Source organism: Homo sapiens, chromosome 2 (assembly GCF_000001405.40).
Source record: "Homo sapiens chromosome 2, GRCh38.p14 Primary Assembly".
In the NCBI taxonomy this organism is placed as follows: Eukaryota; Metazoa; Chordata; class Mammalia; order Primates; family Hominidae; genus Homo; species Homo sapiens.
The window spans coordinates 182,095,525-182,122,047 of record NC_000002.12 but is presented as its reverse complement, the minus strand read 5'-3'; the positions used below and the strand labels follow the sequence as shown (position 1 = coordinate 182,122,047).

Below are 26,523 nucleotides of genomic sequence, written 5' to 3'. Positions count from 1 at the left end.
CTTAGAGTCAGTGTAAACAACTAAACAGGATCCAAAAGTGAGTGGCCAGGAGGAGAAGAGAAGTTTGGGAGGAACTGATGACATTTTATCAAAGAAATGACATCAGAATGTTCTTTAATATCTGGAGTTTTCAGAGATGAATCAAAGAAGCAGGAAAGGTGTAGAAGGGGAGAGTTTAACACATAGAAGAACAATCAAAACTTTTGGTTGGCTTGGAACTGGAGTTATTCAAGAATAAGTAGGGTAGGCCGGGAACGGGGGCTCACGCCTGTAATCCCAGCACTTTGGGAGGCTGAGGCGGGCGGATTATGAGGTCAGGATATCGAGACCATCCTGGACAATATGGCGAAACCCCGTCTCTACTAAAATACAAAACAAACAAACAAACAAAAATCAGCTGGGCGTGGTGGTGGGCACCTGCAGTCCCAGCTACTTGGGAGGCTGAGGCAGGGGAATCGCTTGAACCCGGGAGGTGGAGGTTTCAGTAAGCCGAGATGGTGCCACTGTACTCCAGCCTGGTGACAGAGCGAGACTCCATCTCAAAAAATAAATAAATAAATAAAAATAAAAAGTAAAATAAGTGGGGTGATTAATCACTTGTTCATGATGTTGAAGAGGATCATGAAGTAGATAAAGTTAAGATAGAAGGCCTCTGAGGTCCTTTCTAACTCTAATAATAATAAATACCAATTATTAAATGCTCACTAAGCTTGGCTAAGTATTTTATAGGTCTTATCTCATTTAAGCCTCACAACAACCCAGCAGGTTAGGTATGATTGTACCTATTTTACAAATGAAGAAACTGAGTCTGAAATCTGGTAGAGCCTGGAGTTGAATCCAAGTCAGAATGACTCAAAGTCCAGCTACAAACAATTATATTATAAATGTGGTCTGGGAAATATAGTTTCTGTTTTGCTTTGCTTTGGTCAGTTTCTTTGCCCATTCTTCCAAACTGAAGCCAAGTTGGCTTCTAGAAAAAAATTTTTTTGAAAACTATAATTGTGTGAAAAGTAAAGTGAAAAGCCATTATCTCAACTGGTTTCCTTCAAATTTCTGAGAAAGTCAACATATTTCTCAAAGAAAACTTAAGCTTTTAATTGAATTCTCTCTGTGTTTTGAGAGTGGAGAACAGAATGGAAGAAACCATTTCCCAAAGAAAACTTATGTTCTTAATTTTGATTTCTTTGTGTTTTTTTTTAGGAATGGAGAACAGAACAGAAAAATCCAGAAGCTATACTGTATATTACCCTAAATGATGTTACAAAATCAGCAAAAGCTTTGGTTTCTTTTTGTTTGCCTGAGTCCCTTTGAAAAAGCATTTTAAAAGCATCTGTTCAAGGAAAGGGAAGGGCAATGTTATGTTTAGCACCTCAGGGTGTCTCAAATACTCTCAAGGGGCATTGAGATGTTTTCCAAACACAAGTAATTCAAAATCACTTAAAATAAATAAGGGCCTTAATCAGGTTTTAAGTAGAGAGAAACTTGAGAAATAAACAAAGAGTCATAGCAGGTGGTATAGAAATTCCAGAAAGTTTTGGCTTAACAAAGAAAAAGTCAGGGGATCGGTGGTGATATCCCCTTTATCATTTTTTATTGCATCTATTTGATTCTTCTCTCTTTTCTTCTTTATTAGTCTTGCTAGCGATCTATCAATTTTGTTGATCTTTTCAAAAAACCAGCTCCTGGATTCAATGATTTTTTGAAGGGTTTTTTGTGTCTCTACTTCCTTCAGCTACAAGGCTACAGTAACCAAAACAGCATGGTACTGGTGCCAAAACAGATATAGACCAATGGAACAAAACAGAGCCCTCAGAAATAATGCCGCATATCTACAACCATCTGATCTTTGACAAACCTGGCAAAAACAAGAAATGGGGAAAGGATTCCTTATTTAATAAATGGTGCTGGGAAAACTGGCTAGCCATATGTAGAAAGCTGAAACTGGATCCCTTCCTTACACCTTATACAAAAATTAATTCGAGATGGATTAAAGACTTAAATGTTAGACCTAAAACCATAAAAACCCTAGAAGAAAACCTAGGCAATACCATTCAGGACATAGGCATGGGCAAGGACTTCATGCCTAAAACACCAAAAGCAATGGCAACAAAAGCCAAAACTGACAAATGGGATCTAATTAAACTAAAGACCTTCTGCACAGCGAAAGAAACTACCATCAGAGTGAACAGGCAACCTACAAAATGGGAGAACATTTTTGCAATCTACTCATCTGACAAAGGGCTAATATCCAGAATCTATAGTGAACTCCAAAAAACTTACAAGAAAAAAACAAACAACCCCATCAAAAAGTGGCTGAAGGATATGAACAGACACTTCTCAAAAGAAGACATTTATGCAGCCAACAGACACATGAAAAAATGCTCATCATCACTGGCCATCAGAGAAATGCAAATCAAAACCACAATGAGATACCATCTCACACCAGTTGGAATGGTGATCATTAAAAAGTCAGGAAACAACAGGTGCTGGAGAGGATGTGGAGAAATAGGAACACTTTTACACTGTTGTTGGGACTGTAAACTAGTTCAACCATTGTGGAAGTCAGTGTGGTGATTCCTCAGGGATCTAGAAGTAGAAATACCATTTGACCCAGCCATCCCATTACTGGGTATATACCCAAAGGATTATAAATCATGCTGCTATAAAGACACACGCACACGTATGTTTATTGCGGCACTATTCACAATAGCAAAGACTTGGAACCAACCCAAATGTCCAACAATGATAGACTGGATTAAGAAAATGTGGCACATATACACCATGGAATACTATGCAGCCATAAAAAATGATGAGTTCATGTCCTTTGTAGGGACATGGATAAAGCTGGAAACCATCATTCTCAGCAAACTATTGCAAGGACAAAAAAACCAAACACCACATGTTCCCACTCATAGGTGGGAATTGAACAGTGAGAACACACGGACACAGGAAGGGGAACATCACACACCGGGGCCTGCTGTGGGGTGGGTGGTGGGGGGAGGGATAGCATTAGGAGATATACCTAATGTTAAATGACGAGTTAATGCATGCAGCACACCAACACGGCACATGTATACATATGTAACAAACCTGCATGTTGTGCACATGTACCCTAAAGCTTAAAGTATAATTTAAAAAAAAAAGAAAAAGTCATGGGAGGGGTGGAGAAAGACAGAGAAGGAGAGGGAGAAGGGGAGAGAGGGAGAGAGAAAAGGAAGAAAGAAAGGAAGAGAAGGAGGGAGGGAGAAAGACAGAAGAAAGGAACAGAAGGAGAGAGAGAGGAATCTAGAATAGTCATTTATACATGTGGTATGCTTATCAACGGGTTTCACACTTATTTTCTTGGGGAAAAATACTAAGGAAAATGGTTGTCAACTCACTGCATTCTTTATAGCTCCATAAAACTCTCTTAACTTCTACATTACAAAACTCATATTCAAAATTAAAAGCAATCATTTTACATATTTGAATCTTGATATTAAGATCCCACAGTGGATTACACATTTGATTTTTTCTTCCTGCCTTCATTTGTCCTTTACTGACTTTTGAGAAATCTTTTTATTTTTTATCCATGATACATTTGAATTTCATTAATATTATTAATAAAGGACCAAACTGAGTATTCTTCCATTCCCCCTAAATTTTGTAGTTTAGATACTTTGCCTTCACAAATAATGTATAATTAAAATTGTTCAAAATGCCCAGAATTTTAAATTATGAAAAAGCCATATTCAATAAATATACACTGTCATATAAAATCTTGCTTTATGCTAATGCTTTATCTTTTCTGCCAGTTCTATAGGGGTAAAAGTATCTTTCTTTTATTTCTATAATTCGCAGCATAGTACCTTCCTAGGGATAAGCTCATAAAAGATATTTGTTTAATTAATGAATAAATGACTATATGAATGAATTAATGGAATTTCTTATTTTATGATATGGAAGATTTATAAACTGCTATATTATTTATCAAAATGCAATAGGAAATAGATGGCCCAAATTTCAAGTAATAGCTAAAAGAGGAGGTAGGAAGATTTGGCATAGATTTTTGGATTTATCATTCTTCTTTCTTAATAACTAGAGAAAATGCTGGGAAATATATATCTTGCAGCTTAGAAAATGAAGAGAATTCTGTAGTTGTATAATCAACCATTAATGTGTTGTTGGTGGGAAAAAGATGTTTAGTATCTAATATTGTGGTGTATTGAATCAAGAAAACTGGCATTTCTTCATCATTTAAAAATGAACATTGTGTTCTGTTCTGAATACAGAAATATGATCAATGCAAATCTCAAGCTAAAAGCTTTATTAGATATTTCTCTTTAAGCTAAACCCACACACACACACACACACACTCATGTCTAAATGTGTTTACTATTTATTTTTTACTCTTAAAGTGATGTTATTTACATGTGTTGTTAGAATGCAAACCTTATCAGTAGGACATCAAGGATTAAGCTCTGGCAGTATTAAAGTTAGAACAGTCACATGTATGCAAATTTTTACATAGTTAAAAAGAAGAATCACTGTAAAATAAATGCTTATTCTTTAATTATAAGTGATGTGGAACAATGTGTACTTAGTTCTAAAGTTCAGTCAAGGAGACTTCCAGGATGTGCATAGCTACTGTATGAGTGTGGGGTGCAGAGATGGAGGATGCTTCTGGAAGTCAAGCAGTGGAATTCCATGGTATACTCAGAAAAGTTAATAGTTCAGTTATTTCCAAGAAGCCTTCTTGCTGCAGACCAGTAATTAATGGTCCCGCTGCTCCTCTCTTTCATTGGTGCCTTCTTCTTCTTCAGGGAATGCTGATTCATTCTGGCCTTTCAGATGCTTAACCCCTGAAATTATAAAAATTATGCAAAATTTAAATGATTTTCATTTCTGGAATATTAACCGCTTTGCTGCAAAAGATAAAGAAAAGAGTGCAAAGTTTTCATTTGGTGTTTATATGTTTTTCTCCAAGAATCTTAACAATGTAATCCTATATAAACCTTTTAATTCACTGAGCAATAAAAACATACCCAGCTGAATTTCCATTAGAGGCAGGCTATCTTTCATAATTAAAGCTTCTCCATTAGGGATTGCATCACAGCCTATTAAAAACCTGTTAACTAAAAATCTGCTCACAGATTCTTATTATAATTCTAATGTATCACTTAGTTCAAATATTGCTTTTGGCATCCCTCAATTCTATTACAACAAGAACTATTGAAACCCCTAGGAACAAAAGGGTGTGCGTGCCATTTCTGTAACTTATAAACAACAAAACAATCAGAATATTGTGAATCTTCTTTCAGAACCTAAACATACCAAAGTGATTATGGAACTTCTCTCTTCAAAATTCTTCAATAACTTCCCCCACAACCTATACAGTGGGAAAAACATTGGCATACATTTGCCTGCTATACAAGGCTCTTATAATCTGGGCTCTCTACCATTTCTCACCAGCCTTTCCTGCTTTCAGGGTAATTTACACTTAACAACACTAACCTACTTTTCCCCCGGGCTACTCCAGGCTCCCTCAGGCTTTCATACTTTTCTTGTTCTGTTCTCATTGCCAGACATCTTCATCCTACACACACACATGATAATCTCCCACTCACCCTTCTCGTGTCAGCTTGCCTCCTCTCTGATGGCTACCCCAATTCCCCATGTAGATAGACTTTCTCATATTCCCCCCTGCTCTTAGAACATCTATTGTCAATTACCTTACAGAACTGTATTTGTTTACATCTCTTTCTCATCAGAGAAAACTCCTCGATGCTGAGAAATATGTAATTTAATTTGGAGTCCCAGGCACAGTGCCTAGCAAACAGTAGGTACTCATTAATATTTATTGTCTAAATCATTGATTGAATTAATGAAGTAACAGTTTGGTATATGCATTTGGCAGTTCCACAATAATCTATCTTTAGATTTTTTTCAAAATTATTTCAAATTTAGAGTATAAATCAGAAGACAATTACAACAACCACACTCAATCTACAAAATTATCTTTCATTTCCCTCGAGTCTATTCTGTTAAGATATCAGAGTAGCTGAAACTTTCTGCATATAGTGATAGTTAACGTGGGCAATTTTACACTTTTTTGTACCTTATAAAATTAGTTTATTAGATTTTTTAAGTATTACTAAAAAACACTCTAGTAAGAATTGATAAATGAAAGGAAGTCATTCCTCATGTTTGCTATAAAACAAAGAGTCTCAAGAAATGTGTAAGTTTGCATGTACGGCTGTCAGCAAGCCTCAGAATGCTATTTGGCAAACAGTGACGTCCTTGGACTTCATGGATTGCAAAAATATTTTATCACTTGTAATAATATTTAAATACTTTAATTTCATCTGAAAACTTACATTACTCACAATTCTTCTTGATCTAAGACTGTAGGGAGAAATTTGTTGCTAAGACATGGAATTCACTTCACATTATCATAAATTACCTGAAAAGGAGGTCTCAGTGCTCAGGGAAAGGGAAGAGGGTTTATTAAGTGTCCAACCAGTCACTCTGCTTGAGTCTTACATACATGACTCACTAAACCTCACAACTCCTTGTGGTAAACACCTGTCTAGTAAAATTTAGACTTAGAGAAGATAAAGGATTTGTACAAGGTTGTAAGAGTATTGTGATGCTAAGAGAAGTTCTGACACATCATAGTCTCTCAATATATACTGAATGAATTAATGAGGGTATGAATGAGTAAGTCATAAAGTTCCATTATTAAGAGACACTGATTCATTTTCACCTTTAGCTTTTTGGCTGCTGACCCAAACTTTCCATCATTCTCTAGGATTTATCATAGGTTTGAAGTACCAATTAACCTGGCACCAAGGTCTTGGGGTTCCCTCTGAAATATTAAGACACAGTAATCATTCAGCCACCTACCACTCTTCTTCCTTAGCTGAGGTTGACTATATCTTGCCAGGTTTGCAAAGGTTCTAATGACTCCAGAGCTCATCTTTTTCATTCACAAGGTAACTCAAGAGTAATAAATCTGTGTTTGAGATAATGTTCTTTAAATAAGAGGTAATAATCTAATGTCCTTATTGATTTGTCTAAATGAGGGGATTCAATATAAAGGAAAAAATCAGTAATTAAGATGTTTAACTCATTAATCCATTAATCACCCACTTTCCACACTTGAGAATAGGTCTGCTTGTTTACCCTGAACAACATTTAATTTATTTTATAATAATAATAGTCACAAAGTTATACGAAAAAGCCAAACCTTTTTCAAAGTAAAATCACTCGCTTGGACAAATGTTAGAAGGTCTTCCTTAGCCCTATACAATTGTGGCATTACTATTTCCAGGTGAAACATTTTGATGAGGCAGGAGCAGGTGACATGTTACCACAGAGCTGTTCAGCAGAATATCTACCACGAATTCTTTGATTCCCAAAGCAGTTTACTCTAATACCATCTTTCAATTGGATAATGAACAATTGGTTGATGTGTGCCTTGAAGCAGCCTTCAAGGCAATCTCTCTCTTTTCCTGTCATCAATATTCATCTGATTATAGATGCAATAATGCTGAGATTAAAGTGAGAAGCCTGCTGAGGACTATGTAATAATTTCTTTCTCCCTACACCTCTCCTGCATCCCAAAACACACGTATAATTTGTGTTTAATTTTCTTTAAACCCCCATTTGATGTTTGAGGAGACTTACATTTGATGTAATTCTAGAGATGGATGAAAATGAATTGGTCTGGGGATGTTGTTGAAATTCTCAGAGCTTCGTCCTCTGCCAGATGCTAATAAGCATCAGGGAAATCCCTCCCCTGCACAGGGTTTGAGGCTTGGCACAGGGCAATCAGCCTCAGGAGCAAGTGCAGACTCAGCTAGGGCTGCATATGGGCGGAAAACCAAGGAATCCCAAAAAACACATTGAAGGTTCTTTTCTTCGAAGCAAAATGAGCACACAGGAAAAGGGACCATTTAGAAGACAAGGATATGCCATATGAAAATGTGAAGGAATGAAGAAAAGAAAGCAGACAATAAAAGAAGAAAAGGAAAAGAAATAAATTTTGACCCTAAGCAGAATATAATACTTATTCTCTTCTCTATTCTGTAGATCAAATGGTTAAATGTGGATTCAAAAAAGTTGTGAAGTAACTGAGTGAAGAATTTTGAATACTGAATCCATAGAGGGAGGTTTATATTTGGCAAACCACAGGCCAATATTTTTAATCAATTAATCTGAAGCCAAAGACAGGAGGCTCATTACATTTGTAGATAACACAAAATTTGTAAGAAAAGATGACATGAATGGCAAAGAGTAAAGGTTTCCAAGAGCTGGAATGATGGTCTAAGCAATTAAGGTAGAGTTCAACAGAATTTTTGTTTTTAGAAAGGTTAATTTAGTTCTAAAAAAAAAAAAAGAGTATAAGGGCAACCTTAATTAATTATAGTTAGGGATTTTAGGTGACCACAATTTCACTTGACCTGGTGTTTCTAGGCACAGAGCTCCTGGCAGTGTTGGTGGTATTCCTAGTGGCGAAGTTGGCAGTACGAGAAAGGGAATTGCTCTCTAACCACGTGTTGGTCAGACTTTTCCTGCAACATGCTGCCTAGTTCTCATCTGCATTTTAAGAGGACTAGTTTAAGAAGGGAATTGAGATAAAAGGTAGTTTTATGACATCACTTTTCTGGAGGAATTATAGATGAAACTGGAATATTTAGCATAGAGGAAATTAATAGAGGACAATAGAGCCTGACTTTGAATTCCTAAAATACTGGAAAAGGAAATAAAATTAATCTATGTAGCTTCCAAGAGCAGAAATAGAGTCAATGGCTGACATTTATGTGTATAGGCAGATTATAACTCAATATAAAAAAGGAAATTCCCAAATTCTTTATGTTTGCCCAGAAATAAACAAATGAGTGAGTTCCTCATCACTGTACATGTTCAAGTCAAAGCTATAGTTTCATCTCTGAGGCAGGTTATAGATAATTCCTGCATTAAGTAGCAGGGTGAACACGTAACCTTGCAGATCCTAGGATGCTATTAATCCACAAAGGAAATATTCTGTACTATTGAAAAATTAGCTCTGTTTTGAGTACTATAAGTTACAAAAAAGTAATTATAATGTCAAATGATATAATGGCCCAAATACACATTTTAAAACTAATTCACATAGGGAGTAGCAAATGTAAATAGATTTATTTTATTTTTTTCAACTACATATTTTAGACCATTGTAAATCATTCTAAAGTCCTTTAGGGAATCTATGTGTGGATTTTAAAGAGCTTCTGACCTTCTTGGAATTCTATTTATAGTGTATTTGTGCTTTTTCAGGGAAGGAGGTCAATAGTTTTCAGCAGAATCTCAGTGGGGTCTCTGATCTGCAAGTAATTATGAATTTGAATTCTACTCTCTTTAAAGATGAAGAAACAGTTTCAGATGGTAAAGTGACTTGCTTAAATTCCCATAGTGGTTATTGGCTGAGCTGGGACACAAACTTTGGCCCTTAACTCCTATTGGGGGCTCTTTACCTGGGTTCCGAGGACCTAATCTTCCACTGTTATTGATTTCTTAGAAAGTTAGAATTTGAGAAAACTATGGTGACTCAAGATCATGAGGCCCTTTTCATTATCAGAAGATATTACATCATGGATAGATTTCGGTATAACTTTTCAATCCTTTTGTTATTGTGGTTGTCATGATTTTCAATAGAATTTGGAGTCAGAAAGATAATAGAATTTAACCTTGCCCAGGAACACTCCTAGGATAAAACCAAGTTAGAAATAGCATTTAGATCAGTTCCCAAACCTGGACTGAACTCTGGGAAACACAGAAAAAAATATTGTGGTCTAGTCTGTAGAGATGAGACATAGTCATCAAGCAGTATGTGTTAAATATAATAAAGCCCCTACTGTGTGCTGAGCATGAAAAAGAAACAGGTACAAATCAGATGGGAAGGTCAGCCAAAAGGCGATGGTGTGCATGTAATGAAGCTAATTCAGTGAAGAAGCGCTATGGATCAGTAAAACAAATGGTGCATTAGGAAAATTCTGATAATGAAAAGAAGAGCTCCGAGTCAATGGATAGTAATTTGGACTGTCATTTATTGAGCAACATACTCATTAGATTATGGGAAACAGCAAACCTGGTGCCTATCGCAAAAACTTTTTGCAAATAGATTTAACAGGCATTGATTTTCTGAAATCATCCTATATACAAAGGAGTGATTTCAGTGGGCTTAGAAAGATGGCTTTCTAAGGGTTCCTTGAGTATTGGCACCCTAAGGTTTATCACAAAAATAATGCTAGGAATATAATTTCTATATAATTGTATGTATAGTTATATATATTTATAATTTTATGACTCAATATAATTTAATCTATAATATTTAGTCTATAATATAAAACAGAAAGGCCCCTCAGTAAAGGTCCACCATCTCTCAGATTTCACATTTCTCAAAATGCTTTTATATTTATTGTAATTGTTCAATCCTCTTGTCATTCATTTATAATAAAGAACTATACATTAACATCCTGAAGGTCACAGACAACAAGGGACATATTGATTTTATTTCAAAATTAAAAGCATATTATTTCCTGAACTCACCATAAATGTATCCCTTTCTATTTTATTTGACGTAAATTATATGTAGACAGCACAGTTAATCTCTGTTCTAATATAATGACTAGCCAATTAATATAAGCTGCAAATCAACACATGATCCTTTAACTCCCCATTACTTAAGCCATCATTTCTTTGCAGAAGAATAAACGTGCAATATGATTTTCTCTTCATCATCCATGGAAATAGGGACAACATGTTTATGTGCTATTCATAAGTATGTTTTGTATATTTTTACCTATATTTTACCAAAACTGTTACCCAATAGCAAAGCTGAGATAAAAGGTTTAGCAGTAAATACTAAGAAGGTAGGGAAGAAGGTACTATTACATATTAATATTAGAAATATGAATTCAAACAATATCTTTGGAAAGTAATATGGTATCATTTATCAAAACGTAAAGAGCCCACATCTTTATCATCTCTCTCTCTCTTTTTAAAAATGTTGCAAGGATTCTGCTGCTTGGCCCAGGATGAGAATTACTTTAATAGACTGATTGCTGCTTTTGCCCTCCACAGTCATGTGCCCCTCTAGTGCCCATTTTTCTTCTGAAGCTAATGCATTCCCCATGAATTTAGAAGTAGAGTTAAATTTTTAAGCCTACACATAATGGAGCTAAACAATGTTTAGGCAATTTCACTTTAGAAAGAGACAGAATGGCTCCCTAGCCTGCAAGACTTGACTGCAATTGATTGAACACAATAGCATATCTAAAATAAAGAATGCATCGATCAGCAGGAGTCAGTGGTTAGCCTTGAAAGCATTAAAAATAAAATAACAAAAGGAGAGTTGCATTTACAGCCACAGAAGCAAATGTTGTGTGTGTTTCTTTTACCATGTCCAGAGAATAACATCCTGTGCTGGCATTTTAAAGGCTCTGTCCTCTGGGCAGGGTACTTCCCTATTAAAGCAATGGTTACCACAGGCTACCACAGACTGTTGCCAGTGTATGCCCCAGTCACATAATTCAATCACCCAGCTCTGACTCTGAGCTCACCAAGGAAAACCTCTGATAGCAACAGAGCTAGCATACAAGGAGAGAAGGCTCTGACTAGAATAATATTGTCTTCACCTGATAGTAGTCATTTATTTTGAATTGATAAATAAACATTCTGGTTTTATATATCAGTTTTTAAAGTTATATTTTATTTTAATTAACATATAACAATGTATTATTTATTTTAATAATGAACCTTATTAAATTTTATTTTTCATTAATTTTAATATAAATACGGAGTACAGAGTGATATTTTGATACATTTATTTTGAAATGATCAAATCAGAGTAGATAGTATATCCATTACCTCAAATGTTTATTAATAATTTATTTGTGGTAAAAACATTTAAAATCCTGTCTTTTAGCTGTCTTGAGGTATACTCTGTATTATTGTGAATTGTAGTAAACTTGCTGGGCAATAGAACACCAGCTTGCTTACTAGGAGAGAAGGCACGGATTAGGCTAGTCTTATGTTCACCTGACGATGACATTTCTTATTTTGAATTAATAAATTTGCATTCTAGTTATATATGTCAGTCCTGATATGCTTTTTATGGAGCACAAATATTACAACTTCAACTGACTCTCAGTCATCATCAACGAGATAATTTGTGAACATGCCCAGTGGTGGCTGAATCTGGCCAGCAGCTAAGGTGGGAACTTGAAGGGACCTCTGGAGGTGGGGAACTGATGCTACTTTAGTTTAAGACTTACTATAAAACTACAGTAATCAAGAGAGTGTGTGGTGAAAAAACAGACAAAGAGAACAATGGAACAGCATAGAGAGTCCAGAAACTGACTCATGTAAATGTAGTCAACTAATCTTTGACAAAGGAGAAAAGGGAATACAATGGAGCAAAGACAGTCTTTCCAACAAACGGGAACTTGAACAACTGGACATCCACATGCAAAAAAATATAATAATCTAGATTCAGACACTACACTCTTCACCAAAAAAACCCAAATTGATCCAGACTTCAATGTAAAACACACATTTATGATACTCCTAGAAAATAACATAGGAGAATACCTGGGTAGCCTTAAATATGGGGATGGCTTTTTAGGTTCAACACCAAAGACATAATCCATGAAAGAAAAGAAACAGGTAAGCTGTTCTTCATTAAAATTAAAACATCTGCTCTGTGAAAAACAATGTAAAGGATGCGAATACAAGCCATAGACTGAGAGAAAATGTTTGCAAAAGACACACCTGATAAAAGGGCTACTATCCAAAACATACAAAGGACTCTTAAAACTCAACAGTAAGGAAACAAACAATCCAATTAAGAATGGAAAAAAAAGGTCTGAACAGCCAAGGAGATACATAGATGGCAAGTAAGCATATGAAAAGATGTTCAACATCATCTTTCATTAAGAACTGCAAATTAAAACAATGAGATACTACTGCACACCTATGAGAGTGGCTGAAATCCAAAACACTGACAACACCTGACAAAACACTGAGAAATGCTAGCGAAGACAGGGAGCAACAGAAATGAGAAATAGTACAGCAACTTTGAGAGAGAGTTTGGCAATTTCCTACAAAAGTAAACATACTATACAATCCAGAAATCACTGCTTTGTATTTACCCAAATGAATCGAAAACTGATGTCCACACAAAAAACCTGCACATAGATATTTATAGCAGCTTTATTAATAACTGCAAAACCTTGGAAGACAGAATCAATAGTATTTGCTGGAAAACTGGATATGGATTATAAGAAAAAGAAGACAGTCAAGTATGTCACCAAAGTTTTTGGCCAAGGTAACAGAAAAAATGGAATAATCATTAACTAAGATGGGGAAGATTTAGATGAAGAAAGTTTTATATGGAATATCTGATGCCAAACATAGTAAATTTGATAGTTACAATGTATACCCAAATGAATATATGGTTATTATGTGTCTGAAATTCAGAAGAGAATTCTGGGCTCAGGTATTAATGTGGAAGTCATCATTATGTAGACAACATTTAAAACCGTTAAACAGTTGAAGATCCCCGAGAAAGGGAATGAGTAAAGAAGAAAACATGTTCAAAAGCTGAGCCCTGGAGTACTCCAACATTAAGAGTGCAAAGAGAACAGGATGGCACAGAAAAAGAAGACTGTCCAGGAGTCTGAAAAGAGAAGAGATGAAAGCAGTGAATGTACCCAACTACTCCAAGAAGTTCTTCTGCAAGAGAGAGCTAAGAAATACTGTATTAGCTATAGGAACAGTGAGGTCAAATAGAATTTTTTCCTATTTTATTGAGGTATATTTGAAATACAGTAAACTGCACATATTCAAGGTGTACAATTTTATCAGTTTTGACAGATGTTAGCATCTGTGACACCATTACTACATTCAAGATAACAAACATTTCCATCCAAACAGGAATTTTTTAACCTAGGAAACAATAGAGGATACTTGTTTGTTGATGGGTATGATCCCATAGGGAGGAGGAAAACTATGACATAGAAAACAGACGGAAGAATTTCTAGAGCAATGTTTCAGAATGCAGGTGGGGATAGCTATATTGCACAACTGAAGGAGTTGCTGTTAGAGAAAAGCACAAAACGTTCACCTACAATAGCAAGCAGAAAGGCAGGCTATGAAAAGGAACAGATGTGGTAGGCGAGAAGACCTCATGGTGGGAGTCCAAAAGTTCTCTTCTCATGGCTTTGGTTTTCTCAAAGTAGAAAGCAAGCTCATTAGATAAGACTGAGAAAGAGGAGGATGTGCTGGAGGTTTGCAGAGAAAGGATACACTGTAATAGACATCTCAGAGAGTGGAAGAGAGAATGAACTAAGGAAAGGTAGTGTGCCTGTCAGAAAGTACTAAGTGCCCATCAGAGGTTCTGTAGTCATGAGTTCAAAATAAGACCATCAGTAAAGCTGTGTCCAGTTGCATAAGAGAAGGTGAGGAGTAGGCCAACACTAGGTCTCACCACTTGTAAAACCTTGTTAATTTGTTTTTCGTTCCGTCTCTACAATGTTTTTGTATTTTTAAAAGTGTTTTTATAAACATTTTTCTCATATCCATGACATCTCCAGGAAAATAAGGCAGGAATGACTCTCAGACAAGAATGCTTGAATTTTAAACAATGGCAAGGATGGGGACAACGTTTAATCTGAAAGAACTGATGAATTTTAAGCATTCTAATACCTAGATTAGAAGAATTCTGGGCAAAAATACTTCATTGGAATCATGCAAATTCTGACGTCTCTACTTAAAAGTCAATTTTTGCTCAGACCATGACATATTGAAAGATTACAAATTTTAAAAATTAATAAAGATTACCAAAGTTTCTGGCAAGTTCATTTTCCCCTGGCAATGTATTACCATTGGAAGAATTTAAGGAAAGCCCACTGTTATAGATTGAATTGTGTGCCCCAAAAAGATGTTGAATTCATAGCCCTCAGTATCTGTAAATGTGACTTTATTTGAAAATAGTGTCTTAACAGTTCCTCAAGTTAAAGTGAGGTCATAAGATTGGGCTCTAGTCCAAAATGACTGTGAAATGGGAGGAGTTTTTCCTTATACCCCTCGAAGGGCATGCAGTGGGGGTGTGGCTTGCTTCTTCTGGTGTCCCCCTGCTCAAACCTCTATGGGGAGCATGCACACTGGCAAGTCGTGGGGCTCCAACCCCACATCAGGGTCTAGGATTGAGTGTTTACAGCTCCTGAAGCCCTAGTGGTGCATATTACAGTGTGCTTTTTTAGTTTTTCAGTTTTTTAGTTTTTTAGTTGTGCTGTCTGCAGGTGGCTTGTGTTAATCAGCTCAATTAGGCCCCATGCCTTATGGCAAAGACAGAGGGCTTTCTGTATCCGGGGATTCTTGCCCAAGTGTACCAAAAAAGAAAAAAATTGGATCACATATGGGCTTGGAGAATGAGTTCAAGGTTTTACTGAGTGGTGGAGGTAGCTCTCAGCAGATGGATGGGGAGCCAGAAGTGGGATGGAGTGGGAAGGTGATCTTCCCCTGGAGTCAGGCCACTCAGTGGCTGGGCTCTCGTCCGACCACCACCCTCAACCAAATTCCCCTTGGTGTCCACATCATCGATGTCCTGACAGCGTCTGCTGGTGCTTGTCTGTGCACTTTTTTGCCCCTCTGCTCCTCTAAATATCTAGCTGCTCGTTTGTATGCCTGCTAGGATCTCAGGGTTCTTATAGGCACAAGATAGGGGCATGGCAGGCCAGAGTGGTCTTGGAAAATGCAACATTGGGGCTTGAAAGCAGGAGTGCCTGTCCTCACTTAGGTCCCCTGGGCACAGGCCCGAGGGTGGAGCCCTTGCTAGGGACACAGCCCTTCTCTACCCAGTACTTCCCTGCCCCACTCCTGTATCAATTGTATCCTTAAAAAAGGGAGAAATTTGAACACAGAGACAGTTTTGTACAGAAGGAAAATGATATGAAAACACACAGAGAACACCATCTATAAGCCAAGGAAAATCTGAGGCTACTAGACACTAGGAGAGAGGCATGACACAGATTTTCCTTCAGCCCTCAGAGGAAACAAACTCTGAGGACACCGTTGTCTCAGGGTTCTGGTCTCCAAAACTGTGAGACAATACATTTCTGCTGCTTCAACCACCCAGTTGTGGTTGTTATGGCACATTGTGATGGCAACCCTAGCAAACTAATACATCCATAGCGTTGAATTGTGTATGGGAAATCCCCATCCTCCCCAATACCATTGTGATATACCCTCAGTTGGATTTAAAACACAGCTACTGCGTTTCTCCTGCTGCCAATGAAACATTCAGCTTCTTGGAAGCACCTGCTATCAGACTATATCAAATCTTCCTTTCTTTTATGCTGTCATCTACCAACTTCATGATCATATCAAATTCTCTGGAGATTATAGCACTTCCCTAAATTTCTTTATACCAGTTCTCCTAAAATCATTCTTGAAGACTTCAGTCTCCACCAAGATGACCCATTCCCTCTCCCGTCACTATAAAGCTTCCTTACCTAGACCCCCACACCTTTGCCCTTCTCTCTTCTGTGGTACTCATCTGACAAACCTACAATTGTGATAAAAATCCACCTCTCTGTAATTACAGAATGCCTGAACCCCAATGGAGAAGCACAACTGACAAAAGCCTAAAACTATGCTGACGGATGTCACATAAAATTTTTGACCACAATTTTTAAGTGGGCTTCAACATTTCCTGAAAAATCTACTCTATTTCCCTCTTTAAATCTGTCTTAAATTGTCTCAGAATGCTATTCACTCCTCAAATCTTCAACATTCCCACACCTTCCTCAAACTCAGCTGATTTTACATAGTAAAGCAAAGCAATCATTAAAGAAATGACATCAGCCTGGCCAAATCTACTAATATATTTGAATCTGCACCCATATATCTGCCTTATCTCCTAAGATTCAACCTTCATTTTTTTTCCACCCCTCATTTTTTTTTACAATATCTCTTCCCCTTTCAAAGAACACTCCTAAAATTTTAGCCACTCTCTTTTGCATTGTCAGTTTCTTCCATTCTGCTAAAATATTTCTAATGCCACGAAAACATGAACAGATTAATAACAAGTAAGGCAATTGAGTCAGTAATAAAAAGTCTCCCTTCAAAGAAAAGCCCAGGACATGATGGCTTCACGGCTGAATTCCGCCAAACATTTAAACAACTAATACCAAACTTTAACAAAATCTTCCAAAATACTGAAGATGAGGGAACACTTCTAAACTCATTTTAAGAGACCAGCATTAACCTTATACCAAAGCCACAAAAGGATGCCACAAGAAAAGAAAATTACAAACCAATATCCTTGATGAACATAGATGCAAAATCCTCACCTAAATAAACACTAGTAAATCAAATTCAATAGCACATTGAAAGGATCCTAAATACTAGTAAATCACCTAAATACTAGTAAATCAAATTCAATAGCACATTAAAAGGATCACACATTATGATCAACTGGGATTTATGCCTGGGATGCAAAGATGGTTCAACATATACAAATCAATAAGTGTGATACACCACATTAACTGAATAAAGAATAAAAACCATATGATCACCTCAATAGGTGCAGAAAAAGTATTTGACAAAATTCAACATCATTTCATAATAAATGGATGATAAAACCACTTAACAAATTAGGTATAAAAGGAGTATACCTCAACCTAATAAAGACCATATATGTATGACAACCCCATAGCTAACATCATACTCAATGGAAGACCAGAAACAAGACAAGAGTTCCCACTGTCACCTCTTCTATTCTACATAGTATTGGAAGTCCTAGCTAGAGCAAGTAGGCAAGAAAAAGCAATACAAGTCACACAGATTAGAAAGGAAGAAGTTAAATTGCCCTTGTTTGCAGACAACATGATCTTATATAATTGATCCTCAAATTTTACCTAGTGGCAAGAAAAAGCACAGTAAATCTTAAAAATGAAAATAAGGAATGGTGCTTTCCCTGACAATGCTTTCTGATCACCAAACACACTTAATTAATCCCATCGGGTCCATGGCTTTTACAAGTAAGTGATGACAACAGATTTGATTAAGTATTTTGGTCCCCTCAGTGATTCTCCTGTTACTGAAACTTTTCTTTTATCGAAAGTGTGAATCCTGATGAGTTTATAGTCTCAAAATCTGCTCGATTCCCTCCATATCCTGAGGCTGTTTGCTTCTACTTACTCTGTGGAAGGCCTCCACTCAGTTTGTTTCTCATTACTCAGCTTGCTGGCCGCCAGGAAGTTTCTTGAATGAGGAGATTGTTCTGCTTTTCATCCTCTGCTTGACCTGAGGACATGCAGTTTACACTCTGAGCTTTGCAACTGTTTTGCTCTGACCCTGCTTTTCTATCAGATTTACCATTGTTCACTTAAGCATTCTTGTTCACAGGCAGTTTTACTCTCTGACCATCCTTTTAAATAATAGCAATTTGTTGTTCGCCAGGGGGCTCGCTGACCTACTTTCTTCTTTCATTTGCTGCCCTACAGTTGGTCTGTTTTAGTTGTCTTCCACATGTAACATCACAGCCTCTCTTCTTTTTACATAGATTTTAACAAACTCCATAGATAAGCTAATACCTCTTCTTTAATTCTTCCTATTTACAAAATTTTCTGAAGAATACTTAAAGCAAAGGAGCAATGTATTGCTCAACTTTTATAAGGACTAGCAATTTCATACAGATTACATGAAAGAGAAAAAATATTAAACAAAATTCTTGCTTAAAATGATAACTTTTTGTTATTTCCACTCTATTCAAATTTAATAACTAGGGGAAAAAGTGTTTAATTTACTTAGTTTCTCAACACAAGTATCACTAACTTGAGATTTTTTTTTAAATAACAAAATCAGAACCTCCCCCCAACTTTTAGACATTATAAATGAATTGCTTTAAGATCACGGCTTGGCCGGAAGCGGGGCTCACACCTGTAATCCCAGTAATCTGGGAGGCCAAGGCAGGTGGATTGCTTGAGCCCAGGAGTTTGAGACCAGCCTGGGCAACATGGCGAAACCCCATCTCTATAAAAAAATAAATCAGCCATGCATGGTGGTGTGTACCTGTAGTCTCAGCTGCTTGGGAAGCTGAGGTGAGAGGTTCACTTGAGTCCAGGAGTGCAGTGAGCTGTGATGGTGCACCACTGCACTCCAGCCTGGGCAACATAGCAAGACCCTGCCTCAAAAATAAGAAAATTAATAAAATATCATTATTTCTAAATTTTCAAATGCTCCTCTAGGTAGGGAAAACAACCTTACTTTCAGCATACATATATTACATTTACAAAAAAAATCATCTTTGTGTTACAAAATTTTTTAAACATTGATAAAATTGATGTATTTTCAAAATCCCATATTGAATTTCATTTGAATCCACAATTTGAGAGGAATAAGTATCCTGAACTTGTGTCCATGACTTATCACACTGCATATGATTTATAATCATTTCAATTTTTTTCCCAAAGTAATTGTGCAGCTAGTCTAGTTATCTTTATTTGGATATTTATTCTTTTATTTCTTCCTCAAATGATAGAAACTACTCTGAGAAAAAAATAGAATTGATAAGATAACCAATCACATGATTAGGGAAAATGAGATCATTGAGAATGTGCGGCACTGTTATTTCTGATTTGATACTCTAACTAGAAATAGTCTATAACTTTACTAACATGAGGGAACAGGGCATCTCACAAAAGTTACTAGAAAGGCCCTTTGACTAGGGCTTCATACAAAAGTGGCCATAAATTAGGTCTTTGATGCTATCTCCAGGTGAGTTCATATATAGAATAACAGACATATTTATTGACAATATGTTTTCCATGTCTCTCATAAAACTTCACACATACACTCAATTACTGAACTACTTTAGATTGTACCATAAATGATTTTTTATAAATATTATAGTTAATTCTTAGTAGCTCAATTATATCATAATTTCTGTTGTGCTAATTTGTCAAATGAAAATATTCACAATTCCATAATTTTTACAATCCTATTTTGTCATTCCTTCATTTATTAATACAGGGAACCTCAAAAAAGGAGAGTGGTGAGAAACCCCCCTTGGCTTTACTAGGGAGGCCTTCATATAGATCAGCAGACATTGAAGGAGTGCAGCTTGTTTTCCTGAGCTGCTCTCTTCTAGTCTCCTCCCCACCTAGTTACTGGCCCAGAGGGCAGCCTTCCCTTCAGCAGTAACAGGGCTTTGAGAAAGTGCTTTTCTCAGCACAGAAGCATGACTTTTTAGGGTGGAAAGAACTTCAAAAGGTAGTGCTGAATTTAAAAGGCAGTCCACCTGGCTCCCAGCACACATATATGCACACGTACACATACCAACACCGTATTACAGATGTGAAAACCAAGGCCTGTTTTCTGAAGTCACAGAGCAAGAAACAGTTACTCAATCTACAACACAGGTTGTCAGCCTTTTATTCCATATTCTCTGCATCAGAAAGCAACACAGAAAGCAAATAAACTGCTACTTCCTGGGAGTCCCAGCAGAGTTCCCTTTCATGCTTTATCTACCCAACCATGACCTGATGCAGTAAAAAGAAATCACCACTAGGAGGTAAAATGTATTTCATGGTACTCAGAAGCTGGACTCTTGAGAAAGATTCTCTTATGGATATTTGGTGACATTGAAATGGACTGTTAGTATAATAATTTAGGCATATTAAGGATTCTGCTCCTATAAACTGACCTAAAAGCAAAAACACCATTGGTAGCATTGTTTCTGTGTATTCTCAGATCCAAACTCCTTACAAGTCAATTTTGGGAACACAATTCTTTTCTACAATTGGAGGCTGCCTGCTCGGGAAATTCACCAATGGTACTACCAGAACATAATTTGAAGTAGTCAGAAATAAAGGGTATAATTTTCTAAGTTTCTAAGGAAGGCTTGTTTATTTCTCACCGAGTAACATTATCCCCTAGATATTCCTAATTTGTTCTTTATGATGGCGATCTACTGTTTAGTTCTTTCAGCAGTGCTCTCCACCTTCCCTTTCTTATAGGGAATTACTTTCCCCACTCCCCTTCTTTCAGGAACCGCTCTTCTCATGACCACCAAACATGGGAAAACAATCAGCCCTGCCTGCTTCTTATGCAGCCTTGTCCTCTGACCATTGGGACAATCGCGATCCTTCCTCCATGATCTTGCTGTCTAGAACCAAGTCATCATTACGGAGTTTTTGAATTGTAAATGGCATAAGATATTGTTTGCTCCTGATGACCGCTGTTTCCTACTTAAGGTGGCAGCAGCTGGTGTGGAGGCTGAAGTAGACAGGCGAACAAAGGGAACAAAGGGAATGGGAAAGAGGCAGCCTTTATTTCCTGAGGTTCAGCAGGCTGCCTCCTTCCTTTCCTGGGTGTTGGTTTTCACTTAATAATGGAAGTGACCAAGTAATCTTTCAATAAATTTCCCTTTTGCCTAAGCCAATTGTACTTGATTTTTGATGTGTCAAAGTGTCCTAACTTTTGCATTCTCCCCGTCTTTTTTTTTTTTTTCCGAGATGGAATCTCGCTCTGTTGCTAGTGGGGAGTGCAGTGGCGAGATCTCGGCTCACTGCAACCTCCACCTCCCAGGTTCAAGCGATTCTCCTGCCTCAGCCTCCCGAGTAGCTGGGACTACAGGCACGCACCACCATGCCCAGCTAATTTATGTATTTTTAGTAGAGATGGGGTTTCATCATGTTGGCTAGGATGGTCTCAATCTCTTGACCTCGTGATTCACCCGCCTCAGCCTCCCAAAGTGCCGGGACTACAGGGGTGAGCCACTACGCCCAGCCTCTCTCTGTCTTATATCTTCCCTGGAATCTCCTTTTGAGATGGAAGACAGAAAAGGGAAATGAAAGGCAACTTAAGTACTTTTTTCTTCTGTATCATTACCTCTGAATGACACTTATGATGAACTGAGAAAAAGAGATGGGAAATATTTCATTTTATCTCAGGAGTATCTTTCAAGTTACGTCTAAACATTAGACTCGGTACCACAACTGAGGTAATAGAGAAAGTTTGGGACTTTTTTTTTGTTAAGTCTCTAATCGTCTCCCTATGGACAAGGCACCTATTTAAGGGATATATATCATAGACTTGCAGGTCAGAGGTCAAAATCTTCACAGCTGATTTCATACTTTCCTTGGTTCCTGAGGCGATAATATTAATACTACAAAGCCCTAAGCATTTATGGTCAGTCAGCTTTCACTGTGCCACTGTTACTCCTTTAGTAAATTATGGATAAAACTGTATCAGATACTGACATGCATGATAGCACAAGACTTTAAAAGCAATCTCCTAAAGTCTCTAGGGAAACATAGCAAAGAAAAATTGTTTAAATCCTCCAATAAATTAGTCTTTGAGCTTCCTCCTTATCTAACACATTATTTCAATTTGGCTTTGAAAATATAAGTAACCAGGATCCATGATTCTATAATTCTTGATGCCATACATATTTTTATTGTTGTTGTTTATCTGTATTCTCCCACTTGCCTAAATTATCCTTGTATTATGGTCACAGCCAATTCTAGGTAAGAGTGAGGTTTTGTTTAAGCATGACTTACCTCAGCGTTCCCATGAGACAGCTAACCTGTCTTGTGGGGGCAGGAGGGATGACTTTGGAAATTTCATCCTCCTTCTTTCCTTTGCACCTTCATTCTATATTATCAATATTTATGATTAGCATTAGCCAACCCAAAGTCGATTCCCTTCTGCTTCCCCTATTAGTTTCCTGATCCTAAAGCACTTTTCAATTTTTTAAGGCAAAAATCAAACTGGGAAGTACTACTGCTACTAACTCTATTCCAAAACTGGAGAAATTGTGGCTGCTGAAGATTACATGAGTTGCCCATGATCTCTTGACAAGTCAACATCACAGCTAGCACTGGAACTCAAAGTTCCTGAATTCAAATCTAGTTTTCCCCCACCCCATGGTGTAATTTCTCATTCTGCCAGGATCTTAATTTTTCTAGTCACAAGTTATTACTAATTTGGTGACCTCCCCCATCACCTTGCAATAAAAAATAGTAAACATTTTAACAATATTTTTCTGAAGAATACAGATTACTTTCTCATACCTGAGAAGAAACGTTCAAGTAATGGCAATTTTAGTCCAGGCATTGAGAAAGACTATGATAGGTAAAGATAATGCAAGGCATAGGACTTTGTACTGTCCCTTAGATCATAATATTTAGATAGCTTCCTGTTTTCTATTTGTAGGGCTTACTTTGGAATAAGGCAGACATATTTCAAAGACAGTACTAATTTCAAGTGTTCTGAAGTACTTTTCCCATACATTATGGAAATGTCCCAGGAAATCCAATATCTGAACTACTTCTTGCATTAATATTATTACAAAATTACAAATATTCTTAATTCTGATTTTTTTTCTAGAAAATATGATCACCAGAAGAATGTAGGGAGACAGATTACATCTGTCGAAGAAGTAGATTATTAGAATCACATTTTTCATTTTTTTCAACAAAATTATTTTAGAAAGCTTGTGGTGATCTCTTACTTATTTTAGATATTTGTTCTTAAGTTAATACTCTTTACATAAATAACTTTAGATTAGTGTGTGTTGAGACAGAATAGCTTGTGCCTTTTTGTTATACATGAAATATCATCATAAGAAACCACATCCATCACATTTGAAGAAAATCCAAAGTTAATGAGCATTTTTTGTTTCTATTACTCAAGAAATCTCCAAATTAAAATGAGTTTCTGCTTCAAAAAATACATGTGGTGCAGAGAACTCAATCTATATTTCTACAAGTACAAATGCAACAGTGTGAGGAATTTTTTTTTCTAGGCTGCTGGTATACAAATCTTCTAGAAGGAAAGGCCTACATTTGCTGTTTCAATAAACTTGTTCATGGTAGAGGCCAGGGGTTGGGGGTGTCTGTTATCAATTGTCATCTAGGATATGGAGACATGGTAGGATTATTACACGTGTAAAAGAAAAGAAACACTTTTTCTTTTGGAAGAGAAGAAGAGAAGGACTAAGCAGAAGCTGAGCAGTGTCTGGGGGAAGAAAAGAGGAAGAAAAAAACATCTGTTTGATCACGTGAGAGGTAAAAGAGACCTGAAAGAAGAGATATGTCTCAAGATGATTTTAGAAGAGTTTGCCTTGGAGTATTTGATATGAAACCCTCTCTTCAGTTTATTCTTTAAAATGATCAGTATATTATAAATTGCTCATGTACACCTGTGTGCAATGATTTACTGAGAGAGCAGGAAGAGAAGAAGTGGAGAATCATAATCTAGGTTTTATGAGAGTCATTCTGGGAAGACTGAAATAGCTACTTAACACATAAAGATACAGAAATGCACAACCAACAGATCCATTTCAAGCCAAATTAAGACAGGCCTTGTTTCTGTCACAAAATACATTCCAAGTTAAATGGGAGGTGCCAGAAACAATTTCTTTAAATCTCACCAGTTTCATGGAAAGACTAAAGGGGTGAACCAATGATTCTTAGTCCCCATCCCAGTAGTAAACTAAGTTTTTATTCCCCTGTCAATTCACTTAGAACTGGTGTGTATGTGGTTGTTTGTGGTGGGGGTAGCAGTGGAAGGATTCTCACTCATTTGTACTATACAGAAGCGATTCCCAATACTTATGTTTTCTATAACTTACTAGAAGACAAATCAGAAGAGAGAATGTGTGATGTGTGAGTGTATGTGTTCAGGAGTGAGTCTGTGTTTTAACCTAGCACATTAGGGGTGGCAGGTAAATATTTCAAGTACATTAATGAAAACTACCACTCGAGGACTAGTTAGTGAACATTTAAAGGACTCTAATGAAAAACCTCCTCCAGAAGAGCAATATTTGTAACTCCAATCAAGACCAGAAAGTTTATTAATTAGCATATAGTGTGCTAGAAATAATTTTTCTTTGGAGAAATGAGTGGTATCAGAGATATGTCTGTTAGCTGGACATATCGAATAGGTACCCTTGCATTTGCATAAATGGGCTTAAAAGTCTAGTAATAGTGTATGTTCTTCAGACTGCAACCCAGTTTTAGGATTCCAGTCTGTTCTGTGTGCAGTCTTTGTCACCTGATTCTGACTAAAAGTTTAAATTAATCCTGACACCAAGAAATTGTCAGCTGTTTCTTGAGCAAGCTTTTCATGGAAGTTAGAAGAACTTGAAAGGACAGAAGGCTGAGTTGTATTGAAATTTCAGAACAACTTGCATGATTTTGACAGAAGGAGCTACTTGATAACAAATGTGTGTGTGGGTGGCAAAATTAGGACAGGAATCAGGGTTTTGCGGAAAGAGAACTATGGCCTTCACTCTCACTGTTGGGAGATAACAAAGGAACCAGCCATGTTAATCATCTGGAGGAAGGGAATCCCAGTAAAGTAAACTGAAAATATAAAGGCTAAAAGCTGCTTGGCCTATTTAAGAACAAGAAAAAGGACCACTGAAGATAGAAAATAGGAGCGCATTTAAAGCCAGGTGTAGATTTGCGAGGGGAGGTCACGGGAGTCGGAGCCACCAGATCATGTAGGGCCTGATTAGCTAAGCTAAGAAATTTGATCTATTTCTAAGGGCATTGGAAAGCCGTGTACGGACTCAGAATACAATACCCCAAAAGATGGCACCTTAACGAATCAGAAATCCACAGAAGCAAGGTCACTCTGTCTTTCTCCTGCCTTTCTCCACTGAAACATGGTCATAAAGAAATTCTCTGACCTTCCTTGCCTGAAAGTAGGGTCATATGACCCTCAATCCAGAGAAGTCCCACCCTGTACCCAGAAGCCAAAAAGGATCTGAACAAACAAGGCTTGCTAAATTCCCCCGTTTTTACCATTAAATTATAGCCCTTTTTGTCCAATTATGTTTTCCCACAACTACCTACTTCTTTCATCAGACAGCATAAAAATACACAGTTTTCTCTAGAATTTCGGGTTTCATTTCTGAAGGCTTGTAAAACTTCATTTAAATAAATGTATTATGCTTTTGTCTTTTTAATCTGTCTTTCTTTATGGGGTATCAGGTACTACCTTTTTTTTTTTTTTAGAGTTTTTTTGTGTGTGTCTGAGACAGAGTCCTGCTCTGTTGCCCAGGCTGGAGTGCAGTGGCGCGATCTTGGCTCACTGTAATCTCCACCTCCTGGATTCAAGAGATTCTCCTGCTTCAGCTTCCTGAGTAGCTGGGACTACAGGCACAGGCCACCATGCCCAACTAAGAGATGGGGTTTTACTATGTTGGCCAGGCTGGTCTCAAACTCCTGACTTCAAGGGATCCTTTTGCCTTGGCCTTCCAAGGTGCTAGGATTACAGGCATGAGCCACTGCTCCTGGCCAGTTACTACCCATCTGATGGGTAAAGAAAAGATATTACTTTTTCTCCTCTGCAGCCCCATTGGAAGACAACTTATTTATACATTGAAAACTACCAATATTATGGATTATAGACACTACCACATAAAGAGGCCAAGGGAGTGACAGAAGTGATAAAGGAGCCACACTAAAAGACAATAGCACAAGC

The 26,523-nt window shown here is 37.1% G+C and overlaps 1 protein-coding gene across 6 annotated transcripts in view, besides 1 other annotated feature; it reads right to left on the bottom strand.

The window, feature by feature from the left end:
• PPP1R1C (protein phosphatase 1 regulatory inhibitor subunit 1C) overlaps positions 1-26,523 on the bottom strand; it is a 176,906-nt gene that overhangs the window by 9,338 nt on the left and 141,045 nt on the right. For 3 of the 6 annotated variants that reach the window (NR_048567.2, NM_001080545.3, XM_017003451.1), the window contains one exon: positions 4,292-4,841. Coding sequence is in view for 4 of the 6 variants with exons in the window: in NM_001080545.3 (NP_001074014.1) it covers positions 4,753-4,841 (89 nt within the window). In the remaining 2 variants the exon portion in view is untranslated. Of the gene's footprint in view, positions 1-4,291; positions 4,842-26,523 lie in introns of those variants that run through there. The other 3 variants (NM_001261424.2, NM_001261425.2, NR_048566.2) reach the window with 2 other exon arrangements.
• Positions 11,059-11,560: an enhancer, noted in NCBI's record as "NANOG hESC enhancer chr2:182975215-182975716 (GRCh37/hg19 assembly coordinates)". NCBI's record gives its function as "activates a minimal SCP1, AML or CMV promoter by ChIP-STARR-seq in primed H9 embryonic stem cells {active_cell/tissue: H9 hESC(primed)}" and the evidence as "EXISTENCE:reporter gene assay evidence [ECO:0000049][PMID:30033119]".